Below are 19,240 nucleotides of genomic sequence, written 5' to 3'. Positions count from 1 at the left end.
TTTTGTGTGTGTGTGTCTTTTTATGGGCATATGACTTCATTTATCTTAGGTGTATAGCTAGAAGGACTGCTGAATCATTTATACATATTTAGCTTTAGTGGATACTGCCAAAGTTCTCCAAAGTGGTCAAACATTTCACACTTCTCCCAGCAATGTATGAAAAAAATGCTCCACCAAAAAGGGTAAGAATATTTAGTTTAGAAATAATTATACACACAAATATACACAAATATACAAAAGCACACCTCCCTCTAAGTTTTTGTTTATTTTTTTAAACATTTTTGGTGTGGCTATATTATTTGTTCTTCAATTCAGAAGCAAGTTGAGACAGCAATCCAAATAAAGCAAATTGAAAGGTCAAAACCTAAGAGGAACATATTTTAAAGTCTTCTCCATAGTGTAGACCAGTGTTTCCTCAAATCTGTCCCACAAAAATATCAATAGCTATTCTATTAAAACCATATCAAATAAGTTTGGAAATGAAACACACTATATATTTTCCGTACTATAAATGAACCACCATTTAAATTACTATATTAGAGGTTCAGGGAAGTCCTATAGTAAAGACATCTACTTAACTTTGTTTAGCTTATTGCTTCATCAACCAATGGGTTTATTTGACCATGGAACTGTATTCTACTCTTTTTTAAGTGTGCTTATTAATATCTTTGAGAATAACATATTTGTCTTTCTTTGAATGAATCTTCAGACTAATGTGAAATTCCATTTGATTTAGTGGTAATTCCTAAATTAGTGATATGTTTTCCTCAAAAAATAAAAATTATACCAATCCCTGAGATTTTTAAAGCTCTTGGAAACAGATAAGACAGTGGCGGGGTGATTACTGTGCCTGGCTGTTACATTTATAAAAAACATGGTAACCATGCTACCTATCAAGGCCCAGTCAGCAATACCTCTCTTTTACTAACCAGCTATTCTTCAAAGCTCCCAGTAATATATAATGTGACATGATATATTTGCAAGTATACTTTCTGAGTGAATTAATAGATATGTGATAAAAATACCAATTACTACTTCCCTGGAATCACCTGTAGCAAGGGGTATATGATATGAGGAACTGTACAAAGTTATACATGGGATCCTTAAAAGAGCAAAAATAGGGAAAAACCGTAGAACAAAAGTGTTAGGGTAACATTCATCCTTCTCCAAAATGAACAAGGTTACAAAATGGTATGTGTTGCTCACAAGAGAAACTACAGCCTTGCAAAATGATTACTGTATGAGAAGTGAATGAGAAATTTAACTATCCCAAGCAAATTTAGTTTCATTTATCCAGTATCCGTCTTGTAAAATAGCTTCATAAATTTTCCTCTTATTCTTCAAAGTAAATTCTACTAAATCTAGTTTAACATTTCAAAAGTAGATCCAGGGACAAATCCAAGAAAAATAGCCCAATTTAAAAGGAAAATGTGAAACCGATTTCACAACTAAGTGTGAGTCCTCAGACATTTTTTTTGAACATTAACCACAATAAGTCCACTGAAAACAATGAGCACAGACAGTAGCCATCACACTAAAAAGAAAATCACTCACAACGAGGTGACTTAGATACCTGGCTGGGATTCTCACTTTTTTGAAATGAGACCACAGTTTCGATTTCAAGGCATACAATTTCTTGTAATAATTTTCATTTGGCATTTTCCGCCTGGGTTAACAGATCATTCCCAATTCAACCCAAGTGCAAATGTAAACTTCACTTACCTGCACAAAACCACATGCTGTGAAGGCCTCAAACAAGGGCAGACTTGGGCGGTCTTCTCTATAGATGGTGAGTTTGTACGTGATCAGAGTCTCACCGTGTGCTGGAGATTCATCCACAACAAATATTGAGATTTTGTTCATTCCTAAGCCCAGAGGGTAGCTGGCAAAGCTGGAGAGAAAGAGGGAGAGAGAAATAGAATATGAATAGGGGAGATTTATTCAGCCCAAACTGATTCATATATCAATATTTACTAAATACCTATTTGAATAAATAACAGGAAAGGTCTGTACAATTTCATAAGAAACCTAAACTATGAAAATAAATAAATATCTCTTTCACAGTACTTTACTATGCCAAGAGTGTTCTTTTAGGGCAAGTTATATCTTCCACAATTAAAGCAAAGGAAACTAATATTTATTAACCACCTGCCAGGGTCACACATTATCTCATTTAATACAATAGGATTGTCCCCATTTTAAATATAAAGACCATGACCTAGAACTGGTAAACACATCATTCAAAGTCACATAGAAGAGTCAGGGTTTGGAACCCGGGTTGTCCTGACTTGAATCTTTTCTTTCTACTAGACGTGGCTCCCGAGGGTTCCAAGTACATTTCCTTCCCTACAGCATGGAACCATGAGTATCTTCTTTGCTATGGACACAGCACAGAATAAGGTTCTATCTTCTTTTTAAAATTATGAACAAAAGAGTTGCTGACTTTTAAAAGAATCAATAGGAAAAAAAGCCAGTGAGGTTAGAAAAGTTAGGGGTACTGTGTCCACAAATTGTGCACCAATTGGTTTAAGCAATCAATTTTTGAATATTCAAAAACTTGACATCTTCGAGAATGTTAAAACATGAAGACAACAATAAGTAAAATTTTTCCTTAATGGATCTTCTCTATATTTCATATAACAAGATCCTTTCTTGTTAAAATATTGTTACAAAGATGAGCTGCAAAGGTTACAAATCTTTTTTAAAAAAAATGAGAAGGGGAAAGTTCACATCCTGGCAATCTTTCAACTGATCTTATGAATCAGCTTTTCTGAACCACTTTCAAAGTTTGCATCAAATGTCTACTTCCCAGTATAGTGTCTCAACACAGCCCCAGTCAACATCTCATACCTTGGCCCTGCCTGCTCGTACAGGTGCACCTTGCACAGACACTTAGGAGTTTCCACTCCAATTGTCACTGTTACCACATCAAATGGGACTTCACAGTAATAATCTTTGATCTTTGGATGAAAGTCAGGATTTAGTTCCAAATGTGGATGTGTGAAGATCTGCTTGATATGACATGGTGTGTTTTCATCTGTTAAAAAAACAAAAACAATGACAAAGACAACTGTGAAGTGGGTAAATATCTTTAAATAATATATGATTAGGTTTTTCTTTTTCTGTTTCCTTTGAACAACTTCAATGATCCCTGCTGACTTTCCAATCAGTACCCTGATCATAGTTGATTTGTGGCTGCAGCTGGCTTTTCAATTCATCAGATTTGGTAGAATTTGCTTCATATAACAGCTGTTGACTTTAGTCGGCGTTATATAGATGGTATTTTCTGCTCAGCCCTTGAAAGTTTAAAGGCACACAAGGCGGGAAAATGTCTCTCCTGTGGATTGATAACATTTTCATGATATTTACTGCATATATCAAGCAACTATGTAAGTGGGAGTGATGGCTCTGTGGGATGGTGGCAGAAGAGGACCCGCAAGGAATGAGGAAAATTTCTTAATGTGGAGTGTCATTGAAATACCACTTGATTGATATAGTATCTTATAGGCAGTGTGGGGCAAAGACTGCAAACTCCAGCATTATACCAAACAGACACAAAAACAAAGGCATCCTGAAACTGCTCCATGCTCAGGCCACCTTACTTGGGAAAGTACCATAAAGTATAAGAAGGACATACTATCCTCTGCTCCATCCTGTCATAGAATCTAGAATATTACTTCATATCATTGATTCTGAGGCATTAAAAAAACCTTTCTCTTTGTTAGCCCAATTATTTACAGCTTTATTTCAGTGAGAAAGAAAGAAAAAATTGTTTTATAGGCACATACACCAGCTACTGTTAAGTTATATTCAATGTTAATGTTTAGAATAAACAAATTACCCAAAAGCTTAACAAAGTGTTTTTCAAAGAAATGTCAAGGAGTATTTCATTCCATCAATACTTTCCAATTGTCAACAAAATGCTAACAAAGATAAACATACAAAATTCTATAAAAATCAGTAAAATTGAAGTATCTTGGTGTTGCCTTACATAAAATGTTCAGTGACATTTAACAACATGGCAACAAAAAAGATAACACAGAATTTGCTACAGAAAGCTATAAAACTGAACTTAGAGAAAGGAGATTATTTTAGTAACTGTTGTTTTTTCCCCTGCTTTTACGTAGCTATAATATTGATTTTCCTAAAATCAAATCTGTTGATTTGTCTTCCATTCTTTAGTGGTTTCTCATCATTTCCAGAGTCAAGTCCAAGCTCCCAATAAGGCAAACAAGGCATTTCACAATCCCTTCCTTGTCTTGCTCTCCAGCTGCATTGCCCATTTTGCCCAGTCTTTGTGCTTCAACAAGACCAAAATTTTTATTTTTCTTTGATGGACGTGGAGGTGCACCACCAAATCCATGACGATGGGTACCACCAACCCATATGGATGCATCATTCTAGTTCTGGGGACTAGGTCTCTGTATAGCTCCCATTATGGACTAATACAATTAAAATGAAAAAAAAAACCCTATATATTTCTGACCTATACTCTATAGTTTTCTCAGGCTATGGAAGAAAAACAAATTCAGGTATAAATTATGAACAATAATAATACAATAGATATACTGTAATTTTATTTCATAAAAAATCTTAATAAAAAATAAACTACTAGTAATGTTGGTTGAATAACTCACTGAATTGGGTAAACTCTCTGCTTCATTAATTTTACTTGTAATTTGACCTAATGGTCAATGAAAGATAGTATCTGGCTGATAGATGTAGGTGGACTGCATCTATAATTTCAACGATCCTAACAGCCCCTGAAATTTTCTTATAATAAAAAAGAAAAAAGAATGAAGGCAGAAATTGTTTTTATTAGAAGTCATTCTGTAAAGGACCACAGTTTTTAATTCAAATTCAACCACTTATTAATACTACATTCTTTTTTCATCAAAGTTTTTTCTCCAGAAATTTCTCCGTTAAAGACCCCGAGATAAGCACAATAAAAACAGGATATTATTAATCATGAGGTTTGATTCAAATGGCTGCAAACCCAATATAACATTAAACAAGCTGGAGTTGAGTTATGGGCTGTGCTTTGGAAATGACCATTACCCAGGCACAAAGGGAATAGAAACAGTCGCACTTTTCTGCTCAGAACTAGCAAAGTGAATAACAAAGAGGAAGATCTTTTTTCAAAATAAAACATAGAAGATGTGCTTTAACTTGATAGAATATATTTTTATAAAGATTCTCTGAGAGTTAATTTCCCTGCAGTTTATACTTTCACTTAATAGTCACGGTTTTCAATGGGGTCTGCCCTCCTTAGAAACTGAAACAGCCCTAGATGACAGGAAATAAATGTGCAATCGTTCTCTTCAGCAAGTGCTTATTTTTGGTTTCATCAGAAAGTCTCCATCTCTGGTGTGAGCACTATCTCCTAAACCCCTGTCTGAAAGCTGATTTAGTTCTGACATCATCTTCCACTGAAGTATCAGTGTTGCCGCCAAAAACACCTGGTGTTTGCTTGGCATCTTTCCCATCCCAGTCTCAACTTGTCTCAGGCCAGCTTACCTGAGATCTACGGAGAACCCAGCACGAGGTACGGTGGTAGCAGGCTGCTTAACCTATTTGGCAAGTATATATGGGAAAGCTGTTTGAAGTTTTGGTCGCTTTTAATGGATTTCTTTTAACTGCAGAATTTGATTGCTCTCTTGAGGAATAATCATAACTCATATTGAACATGAGAAGAGCCTAGACTCTTAAAGATAATCCCACCTGTTCTGAGGCATCCTTACATTATTTTTAAATCTTATTTTATACCATAAAAGCAGGAAGATTAATTACTAAAGATCCAGGCAGGACTAATTTTTATCAGCATAAAAACATGAACGAAGTTAAAGTGCCTATCTAACATATTCACATCATCTACACCATATTACATGGGAACTGGAAAAAAAAGTAAGATCATCCAATGCAATCCTTTCATTTTACAAATGAGAAAATAGAAGCCCAAAGAGGCGAAGTTGCTTTCTGGATGTTGCATCTTGCCTTGGGCCTGGCACAGAGTGGACCCTCAACAAGTGTTCACTCTAATTTTGCTCCTAGTTTTCTCACTAGTCCTTTTCCCACCATACTCTAGACAACAGTTTTCCAGGAGAATGGAGTAGCATGTATTTTTCTGGGGGTAGGAGATTGGATGGTGAGTGCAGGGAAGGAATGGCATAAGTAATACTTGCTATCTTTGTTCTCTATTAGCAATACTTTATTTAAAATGCCATTTTCTTTAATTGGCTATATACGTTAATTCTATTAAACTATATTATTATAACCTCTCAGCCTACCATGACCTTAACAATAGTGATAAAACATCATGAATGAATTAAATTGCATTTTAGATGAAAATTAGATTTTATTAAATTCAAAGACGTCTATTAATAATAAATTAGGCCAGCCACGGTGGCTCATTTCTGTAATCCCAGTACTTTGAGAGGCTGAGGCGGGAGGACCACTTGAGATCAGGAACTCAAGACCAGCCTGGGCAATGTAGCAAGACCTCCTTTCTATACAAAATTGCATAAATTGTCCAGATGTAGTAGCTCATGCCTATAGTCCTAGCTACTTGGGAGGATGAAGGAGGAGGATTGCTTGTGCCCAGGAAGTCGAGGTTGCAGTGAGCTATGATGGTGCCACTGCACTCCAGCAAGGACAACAAAGTGAAATCCTATCTATAATAAATAAATAAATAATATAATAAATTAAATCTAAATCTATACTTTTTTTCAGCTTTACTGTTTTACTGAAATTGATTTTTTATTTGTGGAAAACTAAATTTTCTAAGTTGATTTTTAGCACCAAATACATACAGCTATATGTATACATATACATACACACACGTATATATATATTTTAAGGTATACATTATCAAGAAAAATCTTGCTATATAGAACTCAATTTTTCTACACTATATTATAGAATATTAAGAAAACTCAGGAGTTTTTCTTTTTCTTTTCTTTTGGAGACAGTGTCTTGCTATGTCACTCAGGCTGGAGTACAGAGATGCAACCATAGCACACTGTAACCTCAAACTCCTGGACTCAAGTGATCCCCCTGCCTTGGCCTCCCAAAGCACTGGGCATATAGGTGCATGCCACTGTGCCCGGCCTAAATTCAGGAGCTTTGAACAGAGAATCTGAAGATCTAGCTTTGTGATACAGCTCAGGCATTTAATAACCCTGTGACTTTGGAAAAATCAATTAGACTCTCTAAGATGATATATTTGCAAGACCATCGTAATAATAATACTGACCACAATGAAGAAAATCATTTTTAAAGTTAATACAAACTTAAAAGTACTTACGTTTCTCGTATTATGTCTTGGTTAAAAAATGAATTAAAAAAATTGAAAATTGGCTTAAAAACTCTCAACTGTTACAAAGAAAATTCTACTCAAGTACTAACCATTACAGCAACAATCTGGTGAGAAAGAAATCACTGCCAGGTAGTGAGACCCCTAAAGATCAGTATATAAAGCTGATAAGCCAAGCTCTTACATCTGAAAGGCTTCCAAGGCAATGCCCTACAACTCCTAAAGCCCTTCAAAGTGGGTTTGGAAGTCATTGTCCTTAAACAAAAAAAATGTAATATTTTATGTTCTTATGCAAAAGTGATAGATACTGACTCCATTGGAAATCTAATAACTTCTAAAATTTACTTTAACAATTATCAGCGTAAGATACCCACATATAATAAAATGATGCATTTTTTTTCAAAGTAAGGCTGTTCCCTAATTGTTTATTATGCTGCTACAACACTTTAATCTCAACTCACCATCACTGCAATGTATTTCTTTATTTTCATTTTTAATTTGTGGAACTGCAGCTAAAAAAAAAAAGAAATGTAAATTTAAAATAAAAACCATTAATCAAAATGTTAAAATATACATTTAGCTATTAGATAACTTAATAAAACATGTTTTTCATTTAACTTTTATTATACTAGTGAACACTTCTAAGTCAAACTGTAAACTACAATAAAATAAGTTATTTTATTCAGAGCTCAGAAGAATTATTATTTCAAATAGAAAAATATTAAGAGAGAAAATGAATGGTCTAAATGCCATTTATTGCCTGACGTTGATCAGCCAAGGTTCCTTATAGCTTTTATATCCTATGACTATAATTTCCCAAATCATTAGAATTGTAAGAGTGCCATCCAGTTGGTTCCAGTAATATTTACTCTATATTTTTAATTCAACCAAATATTTATTTTAAAAACTCCTTAATACATATTTATGAAACAAATGAATGAATAAAACACTCAGGGTGCTTAAATCATTCATTTATAGAGGAAAAAACTGGTGGGCAAAAGAAAGGCAGTTTCTCTCAGCTCTTCACTGCACCTACTGATTCATTCTATTGAACCAGTGATTCTCAAATTCTGGCCTCAGAATCATCTGAAGGGCTTGTTAAAAGACAAATCGCTGGGTCTCATCACCAGAGATTCTGACTGAGTAGATCTGAATTGCTAGGTTTCCCAGGTGATTCTGGGGAGAGGGGGACACACATTGAAAACCACTGTATTGGGCTAAATCCTGTTTCACAATAGAACAACTTTGAACTAAAAAAAAATATTATTGACATATAGGTGGGTACTTCTTTTCACTTTTTTTCTTTTTAAAATTAGAAGTAGTTTTTTTCTTGTAACAAAAAGCTCAGATGTTCTTTGGAATGAAAAAATGGGAAAAAAGAGATAAGCCAAAGAGGAAAAATATAAGTCACCATTGATTTTTCCTGAGCTTCACGGTGAGGTAGCCAATTGTTAGTTAGGTTTAACAATAGATCATAAAGAATTTTCATGTCATAAATATTCTTTCACAACAGAAGAATGGATTTATAACATTTTATTTGATGACTCTAGCTTAATTTGTGTGTCCAGTCCACTCTTATTGCAATAGTAATGAACTCTATTTTTTTAATTTGTTGATAATTTATGTAATTAAATTTTGTATATATTATTTCCTTAAAATGAACATTTAGAAGTAAAATTTCTGATCTATAAAAATAACTTTTAAAGCTTTTCTTAGATTTTAAATGGCCCCTTAATAGAGGTTGTTCTAATTTATACGTCCACCAGCACTATGAGAATACTGATTTCCATACACTCTCTCCAACTTTACTATCTTTTTTAAAGTTTTATTTTAATTGACACATAATTCTGGGGTATAATGTGAAATATTTTGATACATGTATACATTGTGTAATGAATAAATGTGGCTAATTAGCATACCTATCACTTCAAACATTTAACATTTCTTTGTGATGAGATCATTCAAAATCCTCTCTTCCAGCTATTTAAACATATATATTGGTTAACAATAGTCATCCCACTTTTTAATAGAACAACAGAACTTTTTCTTCTACCTAACTATAACCAATCTCTAGCCACCTCCTTCCCTTCCTACCCTCCCTGGCCTCTAATAACTACTATTCTACTCTCTATGAGAGCATAAAACTGGTAAACCCTCTCTACTTCTGTGAGATCAACTTTTTTCGATCCCACATGAGTGAGATTATGGGGTTTTTATCTTTTTGTGTCTGGCTTATTTCACTTAACATTCTCCAGGACTATCTATGTCACAAATAACAAACAACAGGATTTCTTTCTCTTTTGTGGCTGAATAGTATTCCATTGTGTACATACACCCCCATTTTCTTTATCCATTCACTGATGAACACTTAGTTTGATTCTATATCTTGGCTATTGCGTGTAGTGCTGTAGTTAACATCAGAGTACAAATATCTCTTCAACATACGGAGTTCATTTCCTTTGGATAGATATCCAGTAGCAGGATTGCTGGATTCCCTCTCTATAATTTTAAGAAAATCCTTTCCAAATTTAAGGGAAAATAGCATTTCCTCATTTAATTTTCATTTTTGATTGCTAATGAAGCTAAATAGTTTTGCATTTTTTTGCCAGGAAATACTTATTTTTATGTTGAAATAAGTGGGAATATCTATATTTTTACCTTTTTTATTTTCTATTGCATCAAATGGCACTTGTGGTTTTTCAATGTTCTTATCTTCTGTGAAAGAATTCCTGCAAATGCAATGCCAAACAACTCTGGATTAATGAAATGAACAAAACGCGTGGAAATTACATCTAACACACTATCTTTTCTTCTGTATGGGCACAGTTACTTTGATGAACACAAAAAAACGCTTTCTGCATTTCAATCCTCAAAACTGGCAATCTACCCTCAAAGGAAGTAGGTGGAAATCTCATCATCCCTAATCAGTAGAAGCATATTTGAAGAAAACCAGGGTAAAAAGTCCCTCTCAGTCCAAATCTGAGGAATCTCAGATAGCTTGGGTCCAATAGAAGTGATTCAAGAATACACATTCTTATTGGAAATCTGTTTGGCTATAGTTACACTGTTTTGGAGCAAAAAATCTTGGAATCACCAAGGCACAGCCTGAGAAGAACATACATTTAATTGAAGAAATAAGTATACCATGCAGAAAATGACCTATGTCTTGCCAAGTCTTCTACCCTTAAACTCTAATTAACAGTAGTGAATAGCAAGGGTTAGTTAAATTCTGGTGTGTTCACCTAATTTTCTCTGTTGTATAACTAACTAAATACTTGGCCAGATTGCCCTTTAAATCCTCAAATTTGGGACCAAAATAATTTAAATTGCAGACAGAAAAATTGCTGGTCCTGATGATAAAGAACAGCAGGCAGGATCATCTGCAGGCCCCTGACAAGACTTTCCTGTGCTGGTGCAAATCTCCATTTCCACCCCAGCACAATGGAGATAACAATGTTTACCTTACTTCACAGGGATGCTATGAGAGTTAAATACAATTTTCTTTGTTAAATAACATTTTAGAAATATGTATTGTCCCAGATATTGTGCTGCGTACTGTAATGGAGAAGAGATGAATATGACATATTCAGCTCCAAATATAAACATCAGCTAGGAAATTTAAAAGCATCAAGGAATTAAAATTATTGCTAAAGTTGGAAGCCATGATAATTTTTTGCAGTTTTATTTTAAAAACTGTTTATTCCAGGTGACTTTTACAAAAGACACAACCCTGAAATGCACAGAAACTGAAGTTTGGAAAGGTTACTATCTTAATGGAATGAGACACTGTATGTAAAGGCATCTTGCAGTGATTTTCTGCATAATTTTGTGAATACATTGTTTCAAATCCATGTGGATTTTCATTGAAAGCATTTCCTTAGAGTAATGTACAATGCAACTGTACTTCTAGGAAGGTAAAATTAGCACATGGTGCACCACATTGATTTTAAGATTTTCATTCTGTTCAGATTCACACTAATTCTGTTGAGATCTCTGGATTTTGAGCCTCAGGACAAACATATAACTATTACCTGGTATTGTCAAGCTTTCCTGACTTTCTCACCTCGTTGCTACAAGACAATGATCTTTCCTTAAAAGGAAAGATGAAGTCATTGAACACAGGTAATGTACATCCATAAAGTTGACATTTTCTATAGAAAAAACTGTGGTAACCATTGAGAAGATAAGGACAATGATGGCCTCCCTGTCTGCGTGATGTACTGGATCATCAATGAGCCCTGGACCAAAGCACTGGACCATTGGTGAGAAGGCTAGGGTCCTAGTTCCAACTCTATTTCTATTAGCTTTGTAACCTGAACAAACAACCCATCTTATTAGCACTTCATTTTCTCATCTGGAACATGTATATAACATGCATCCTCATTGCAATATGGCATGAATGATAATTAAATATATACACATTCACTGGTAACCTTGAAGATAATTAGATTTGGGCATTTTTTTCTTGAATGCAAATGAAATTAGCAATATACTAATTGCTTGTTGACAAACGTAGTAAGGTTTACTTGTCTCACTATTAACTTAAATATTTCAAACTTGTCGTGCTTTTCCCATTAAAAAAAAAAAAACATTACCCCCACTATAGAAGCTAAAATGATCATTGAATAGAAACATGGAAAGGAAAGTATACTGATATTTACTATCTACCTGTGCTACAGCGTATCAGATGCTATGTAGCAAATGAAATTTTATGTAATCATACTGAAATATACATAGTTCATAGTATAATGCATATTTTGCAGATAAGAAAACTGAGTCTCAGAGGGGTTCAAACCTGTCTTCATAAATTCTAAAGTTGGGATTTTTGAATATAGTCTCTATGACTCAAAAAAGTCCTCACCCTTTCCAACTATACTCAACACTGACCATTAGTAAATTTTCTTATTAGAAGAGAATTCAATCTTCTAAATTTAAGATCAGAACACTGCTTAACCTTACAACATACATGGAGCTTGAGAAAAATTTGCTTGGGAACAAACTTTCCAAAGTTTGAGTATCTTCAGGGAACTTCCTCAAAGTTAAAAAAAAAAAAAAAAAACTTTGAAACAGCTTCCTGTGGAAATCAAGTCTGTTTTTCACCCATCTATAATAAATGAGACAGTCTTAGATTATTTGAGTGAGTGTAAAGTACAAACAAAGTGTCTCTGAAGTATGTTATTTAAAACCTAATTTTCAAACACATAAACAAAACCTTCTGCTGGGCCTACTACTTCCAGGTATTGAGGAAATAAAACCAGCTTCTTAAAGCCATGGCAAATAAGGTGAATTCTGATCCTGGGATATGTCCTAAGAATTCTTCAAATATATGATTATTCAAATTTTTGAATTGTAAAAATAAAGTTTTTATAGAACTGTTTTCACTATATCCTTAGCAGAAAGAAGTGAAATGTAAGTCAATAGAGCTGAAGCCATGGCCTAGGGTGACTGCAAAAGACTTAAATGATTATGGCAGGGCCATTTAGTCTTTCATCTCCCTAGGAGGTTTAGGTTTACTTCTGTTTTGCTGCCAGTAGAAAAGTCGAATGCTCCTGTAATTCCATCCATATAAAAGAGAAGCAGAAAAAACCTTAGGTGTTGCCCCTTTTCCCTAACTAGTGGAGATAAAATTTTATCCATCTCAGTTCCCTCTTATTCCCTAATTACTACCTCTCATTAGAATGGAAGTGAAGGTGGGAAATTTTATCTTATCCAAATATTTTCCTCTGAGATTCTACCTTCTAAAAAAAGAAAAACCCCAAAGTTCTACCTTCTGAAACCAAAATAGGAATCAATTGTGACAAAGACAGAACATATGTATATACATTCAATGGGTTTTGCTCAGAAAAAAGTCACACCTCAAAAACTTTCTAAATAAATAATTTTACTGTCTCAAGCTGCCACTCTGACTGATGGTTCATAAAACACATCTCATCTAATTACTTCTGTCTGATACCCTCACAATTCAAGAATATATATCACTGAAGGAAACTAGATTGAAACTTTCAATTCTAAACATTATAGTGGAGTCAAGTCTTGTTGGTTTAAAAAACTGTTGGATACATTTTTATTAAAGTGTTTGAAGACCACTAGAATCATTATGGTTTCAATGTTTAAAGACATTTATTTTCCTGAGCATGGAAATTTGGACACACTTTTTTGTTGTTGCTGCTTGCTTTAACATAGGCAAAGCCTTTTGAAATCAATCTGTAAACTAGAGATTTTTTGGATTGTACAATTCAAATTTGTGGCTATCTTACCATTCCAGTGGATGTGGCTGTGTCTTTTTATTCATGAACTGAAATTGTTCAAATACATTTAAAAGAGACCAGTATTGGGTCAGGACTGAGCCAGGATTTCCCACAGGATTTGCCACATCATAAAATTCATGCATCAGTGACTGAATCCCAGGAGTAGTAGATGGGAAGAGCTGAGAACACAAAATATCAGTATAAGTTATGGAAAACAAATTATAATGTAGTATTACTATGAACAGCCTTATACTTAGTCATTTATTTAAAAAGTCAGATATTTGTTAAAAATCCATTGGTCAGTACCATAAATTAGTTTTCTGCAAAGTTGTTGATGTAAATGCCACTTTTTATAAGAAACTAATTTTGTTGATGATCATATTTCCAAATAGGGTGAGTTTTTTTTTTTCTTTTCATTGAATATAAGCGGATTTCTCTTTCCTGTTACAGATACCAGAAGACACATGAATAACAGAGTTAGGCAGCAGGAAGAATGAGAGAGCCTCTTGGGTTACAAATGAATTATGTCAGAGTGAGAAATATTAATCTTCCCCTCTTTCCCCCGCAAATAAAAATCTGTGGTTATCTCCTTTCTACTGTGAGAACCAGGAAATTGGAATTTTCTCTTTCTCTTGCAAAATAATTATTTAGTTCTTCCTCAAGTTATGATGAGAAATGTTCTCCATAGTAACAGTATCTAAAGTTATAAATTCCTGAAGAGCAAGGCAGATCCCTTTTATTATCTTTTTATAGTATTTAGTCAAACTGTTGTGAATGTAATACTTATACGTTTAAAATAGTTAAAATGATATTGTGCCAACTCAATTATCTTTGGGGAAATTAGCTTACTCTGAATCCTCCAAAATTTGGGACCAAATTAGAAAAAGGAGTATCAAACACTCATTAATTAACTTAGTAAGTTGATTAAACTCATACAAGTAGTGTATGTATGTATATATATATATACGTATATATATATATATATATATACGTATATATATATATATATATATATACATATATACACACACACATATACTTTTTACAAGTAAGATAAATACTTGAGTGAAACATCAGGGTAATAATAAATGATTAATGATTAAGAATGCTATTTCAAAAAGATATTTCATATGAACAAATCTTAGGTGGAAAAATACAAATTCATTTCAGTCTATATAAGTATCAGAACTGGAAAGAAAACAAGTATTAAACATGCATTTCACACTCAATAAATTATCCTTTGATACTAACCAAGGAATTAACAAAATACATAGAAGATAAAATGAATGCCTTTTTTAAAAGATATAAGCCAGTAAAAGTTATAATTATTTACATTTTCTTTCTTTGAAGTTTGATATAGAGTTATAAGAAATTAAGGTTTAGGCAGTCTTCTAAAATATTATTTTCAACTCTATATGATTTTACAAAAACAAAAAGGGTATAATAAGCAGAAATAACAAGGGGATAATAAGCAGAAATAACTTTTGGTTGCATGTAAATGTTCTGAAGCTAAAAGTAAAACTTCTTCAGAAAAATGTTGGCATTTTCCCCTTGAAAACTGTCAAATTCTGGCAGCTATGCTAATCCCATGTTCTTTTACCTTTAATAAGTCACATATTGTTTGCAAACTCTTAAAGTTATGCATATAAATCTTGCTCATTTTGCTACTTAGATCTCTGAAAGAGCAAAGTAGCTTATAAAGATTTCTATTTCTTAAAGAAATACTTAATCTAGTTTGATGTCAAAATCAGGTAGCTTACAGTGATCTACTCTAATCCCAGTCACCAAGAAAGAATCAAATGTCACTTTTGCTTTACCAGTTGGAATTGTCCCAGACTTCCAAGTTCCTTTATGAAAGTCATAATTGAGTTAATTTCTTCTAAGGACAGACACTGATTTAGTTCCTTTTGATAGTTTTCACCCTGTATTGGTAGGGGGAAAGAACTTAAGCAATTGTTAAAAAGTCAAACCATGTTCAACCCAATTACCTCCCATTTCATCAACCAATCAGATTTTGAGTTCTATAAACAACTGAGCTAATTAATGTTAAATAATACATAGCAACTTCAACTTGTCACAGTGGTGTCTGAATATAAGAAAGCTTCATATCTGACAGGGAGGACCTGGATAAAATAGCTCAATGATGCTTTGGTAGTGAGGTTGGGGAGATGCTAACGTGTTATAAAAATCAATCCATGTTATTTTGAAGCACTCTGCTCTATTCATTGGCATTTGCCCAAACATGACAATAGATGTGAATGCTTAAAAAAAAATAGCATTATAATTCAAGTCCTCTGACGTCAATCTGGAGCACTCACTGCTATTCTAGACTGCCTCCAAAGAGTTCTAACATTTCTTTTAAAGTATACTATAATACATGTAATGAACCTGCACATGTACCCTCTGAACTTATAAGATGAAAGAAAAAATTAAAAAATAAAAAAGTATTCTGTAGCATACAATACATATTATTCATAATATCCACAAACATTTCGTAATCCCAGCACTTTGGGAGGCCGAGGCAGGCGGATCACGAGGTCAGGAGTTCAAGACCAGCCTGGCCAACATGATGAAACCCCGTTTCTACTAAAAATACAAAAATTAGCTGGGTTTGGTGGTGCATGCCTGTAGTCCCAGCTACTTGGGAGGCTGAGGCAAGAGAATCTCTTGAACCCAGGAGGCGGAGGTTGCAGTGAGTCAAGATCGTGCCACTGCACTCCTGCCTGGGTGACAGAGCGAGACTCTGTCTCAAAAAAAAAAAAAAGAAAGAAAAAGAAAAAAAGAAAAACAAAAAGAAAAAATAAGAAATTATGAACACTATACTTAATTTTCAACCCATAATTTTATCATAATCAGTCACTTACATACTTAGTTGACATAAAAATAATCTTAGTCCAGAGGTCAGAAAAAATTAAGAAGTGTGATATAATAGATACCAATTAATTTGAAGTGAATTATCAAGTTGCTGAATTGCAGAATAAGGAGAATGACACCTTCTAAGGAATGACTTGAAAAAATATTTATCAGTACACAAATATGCACTTACCTTGAAAACATCTGATCTATAAAGTCTCTGAAATATCTCAGAAAATATGGAAAGTGATGATTCATTAGGGAAGAGAAAATTGAAAGTGTCATTTAAAAGGAATTCTTCTGTATTTTGGTCCTCAAAATCCATATTATCATAATCTTGAAAATTTAAATGCTCGTGTACCTTTGAAAGAACAAAAGCACAGCAAATATTTTTCATCGATTTACTTTTAAGACAATGGAATTACTTCTAAGACATGATTTATTTCCTGTTGGATTATAGATCAGAACTGACATCTAGTGGTCTTTTTGGAAGTCAACAGTTTTATAAATGTGAGTAATTTTTTTTAAAGATACAATTTAAAGATACAATTATTTAATGTACAGTATAAGAAAATTAACTAATATAAAGTCACATTAGTTTATCTCGATACCCTTTATAGCTGAAGAATATGCTTTCATGGAAGATAATACATAACATTTCTTTCTGAACAACAGATTTTAAAAAGCATAATACAAACTATTAGGTATGCATGCAAAACAATGAAAAAATGAGTATTTAAAAGTGTCAGTTAATTAAGTTTTAAATTTTTATGGAGAAATCTTGGAATTATTTAACCAAATGTATGAGCCATCTATAATGTAATTGGCTTACCGGAATAATAGTTTGAGGACACAGAAATGTTATACAAAGCTATATTCTAGTTATACATAATTTTATTTTCCCCTTCTTCCTTTTTTCCCACCCTGTATTCCAAGGTAGAACTTTCTATAGACTAATTTAATAAATTATTTTTTATGTTTTTGCCTCTAAGGGCTATGTTAGAGGAAAAACAAAATATGTTGGGGGAGATAATATGAATGAGTATATTTAATTTGAGAGGAAGGAAAAGAATCAAAATGGGCAAAAACACTTCACTCTACACATATCTATATCAGAAAAAAAAATTCAAAAATTCCCATGGTTTTTTTAAACTAAATATAAACCAATTTTAAACTAAATATGTATATGTAAAAAATAAAAGTTATCTTTTTATACCCTCATGTGAATACGCCAGATAATCTGTTACTTTCTATTATCTACACATCCTCTTTTTTCCTTTAATGCATACTTGACTTCATACCACATTTATTTCACAAATAGTACTTGAACCATAGAAAAATTCATGTTTATTTTACAGAGACACATAGGCAGGATTGGACTCATAGATTCTCCACATACTAGTTAATTGTCTGAACCACAGTGAATATAAGCCTACAGTACTTTTGCAAATTGCTATTTATTGATTGGTTACTATGAATGAAAACAACAACAACAACACACACACACTGATCTCTCACCACAAGGTAGAAGCTCACATGAGGCCTTTGGCATACTGACCTGGAGCACTACAGGGTACATGAAACTGCCATAACCAATATCAAAAGTTAGAAGTTGAAAGCAGAATCTGCATCTAAAATGAAAACACAAGGTACCATAAAAGTAAAGATACATGCACATGGATGTTTATTAATGCACTATTTATAACAGCAAAACTTGGAACCAACCCAAATGCCCATTAATGATAGACTGGATAAAGAAAATGTGGCACATACACACCATGGAATACTATGCAGCCATAAAAAAAGGATGAGTTCAAGTACTTTGCAGGGACATAGATGAAGCTGGAAACCATCATTCTCAGCAAACTAACCCAGGAACAGAAAACCAAACGTTGCATGTTCTCACTCATAAATGGTAATTGAACAATGAGAACACATGGACACAGGGAGGGGAACATCACACACTGGGGCCTGTTGGGGGTTGGGGGGCAAGGAGAGGGAAAGCATTAGGACAAATACCTAACGCATGCAGGGCTTAAAACCTAGATGATGGATTGATAGGTGCAGCAAACCACCATGGCATATGTATACCTATGTGACAAACCTGTACATTCTGCACATATATCCCAGAACTTAAAGTAAAATAATAATAATAAAAACTATATTCTCTTGCTACATTTACTCTTATTTGGTGTCATATTAATAATCACTATTGTTAATTTTCAATATATCTACTAATTAAAAAGAGCAGTGGCTTGGATAATGTAAAATTACATGTGATAAATTTTTGGATTTGGATTCTGTTTTATTTCTTATAGAAAATAAAAATATACCTAAATATTCATAACACATTAAACTAAGCAATAAAGTTAATCCATGGAAACCTAAATACGAAGAAGAAAACTCTCCTACTCCTACATGCTAGGTACCTATTCACATATAAATTATGATAAGGTTTAAATTGATGTGCTTCCCCCACTTTTTGACGTACGAGATTTAACATTTCCTTAGAACAAAGGCAATAAGTTATAGTCAAGTAAACAGATATGGGAATAGGAGTTATTGAATTTTCTTAATAAAGTTCTTCATTTTCTCCTCTGCATTATGAAATCAGTGGGATATTTGAGAATGAAATTTATTATGTATAAGTAAAATTATACCTAGTCAATGCCAAGTATCTATGATAGAAACAGTTGCACTTGAAAAGGCGGCTGCAATTAAAAGATTAACTTTGAAAATGCGCACTTTACTTCTTGTTACCACTATTTAGATACTACTGAGTCTGCCACACGTTCTAAAGTTTTAGGATCTATAAATATGGCCACAT

The 19,240-nt window shown here is 33.4% G+C and overlaps 1 protein-coding gene across 5 annotated transcripts in view, besides 1 other annotated feature; it reads right to left on the bottom strand.

Annotated features, from left to right (window-relative positions):
* The window catches only part of CPED1 (cadherin like and PC-esterase domain containing 1), a 308,732-nt gene that overhangs the window by 153,579 nt on the left and 135,913 nt on the right, over positions 1-19,240 (bottom strand). For all 5 annotated transcript variants that reach the window (NM_024913.5, XM_047420856.1, XM_047420857.1 and 2 more), the window contains 8 exons: positions 17,972-18,044; positions 16,607-16,774; positions 15,378-15,482; positions 13,570-13,739; positions 9,971-10,041; positions 7,774-7,824; positions 2,851-3,037; positions 1,723-1,891 (listed from right to left, as the gene is read on the bottom strand). In NM_024913.5, the coding sequence (NP_079189.4) occupies positions 1,723-1,891; positions 2,851-3,037; positions 7,774-7,824; positions 9,971-10,041; positions 13,570-13,739; positions 15,378-15,482; positions 16,607-16,774; positions 17,972-18,044 (994 nt within the window). The remainder of the gene's footprint in view (positions 1-1,722; positions 1,892-2,850; positions 3,038-7,773; positions 7,825-9,970; positions 10,042-13,569; positions 13,740-15,377; positions 15,483-16,606; positions 16,775-17,971; positions 18,045-19,240) is intronic.
* Positions 5,210-5,319: an enhancer, noted in NCBI's record as "active region_26557". NCBI's record gives its function as "activates an Ori minimal core promoter by ATAC-STARR-seq in GM12878 lymphoblastoid cells {active_cell/tissue: GM12878}" and the evidence as "EXISTENCE:reporter gene assay evidence [ECO:0000049][PMID:35858748]".

Source organism: Homo sapiens, chromosome 7 (genome assembly GCF_000001405.40).
Source record: "Homo sapiens chromosome 7, GRCh38.p14 Primary Assembly".
In the NCBI taxonomy this organism is placed as follows: Eukaryota; Metazoa; Chordata; class Mammalia; order Primates; family Hominidae; genus Homo; species Homo sapiens.
Note: the sequence above shows the minus strand (reverse complement) of the source record. Positions and strands in the feature narration are given on the sequence as shown.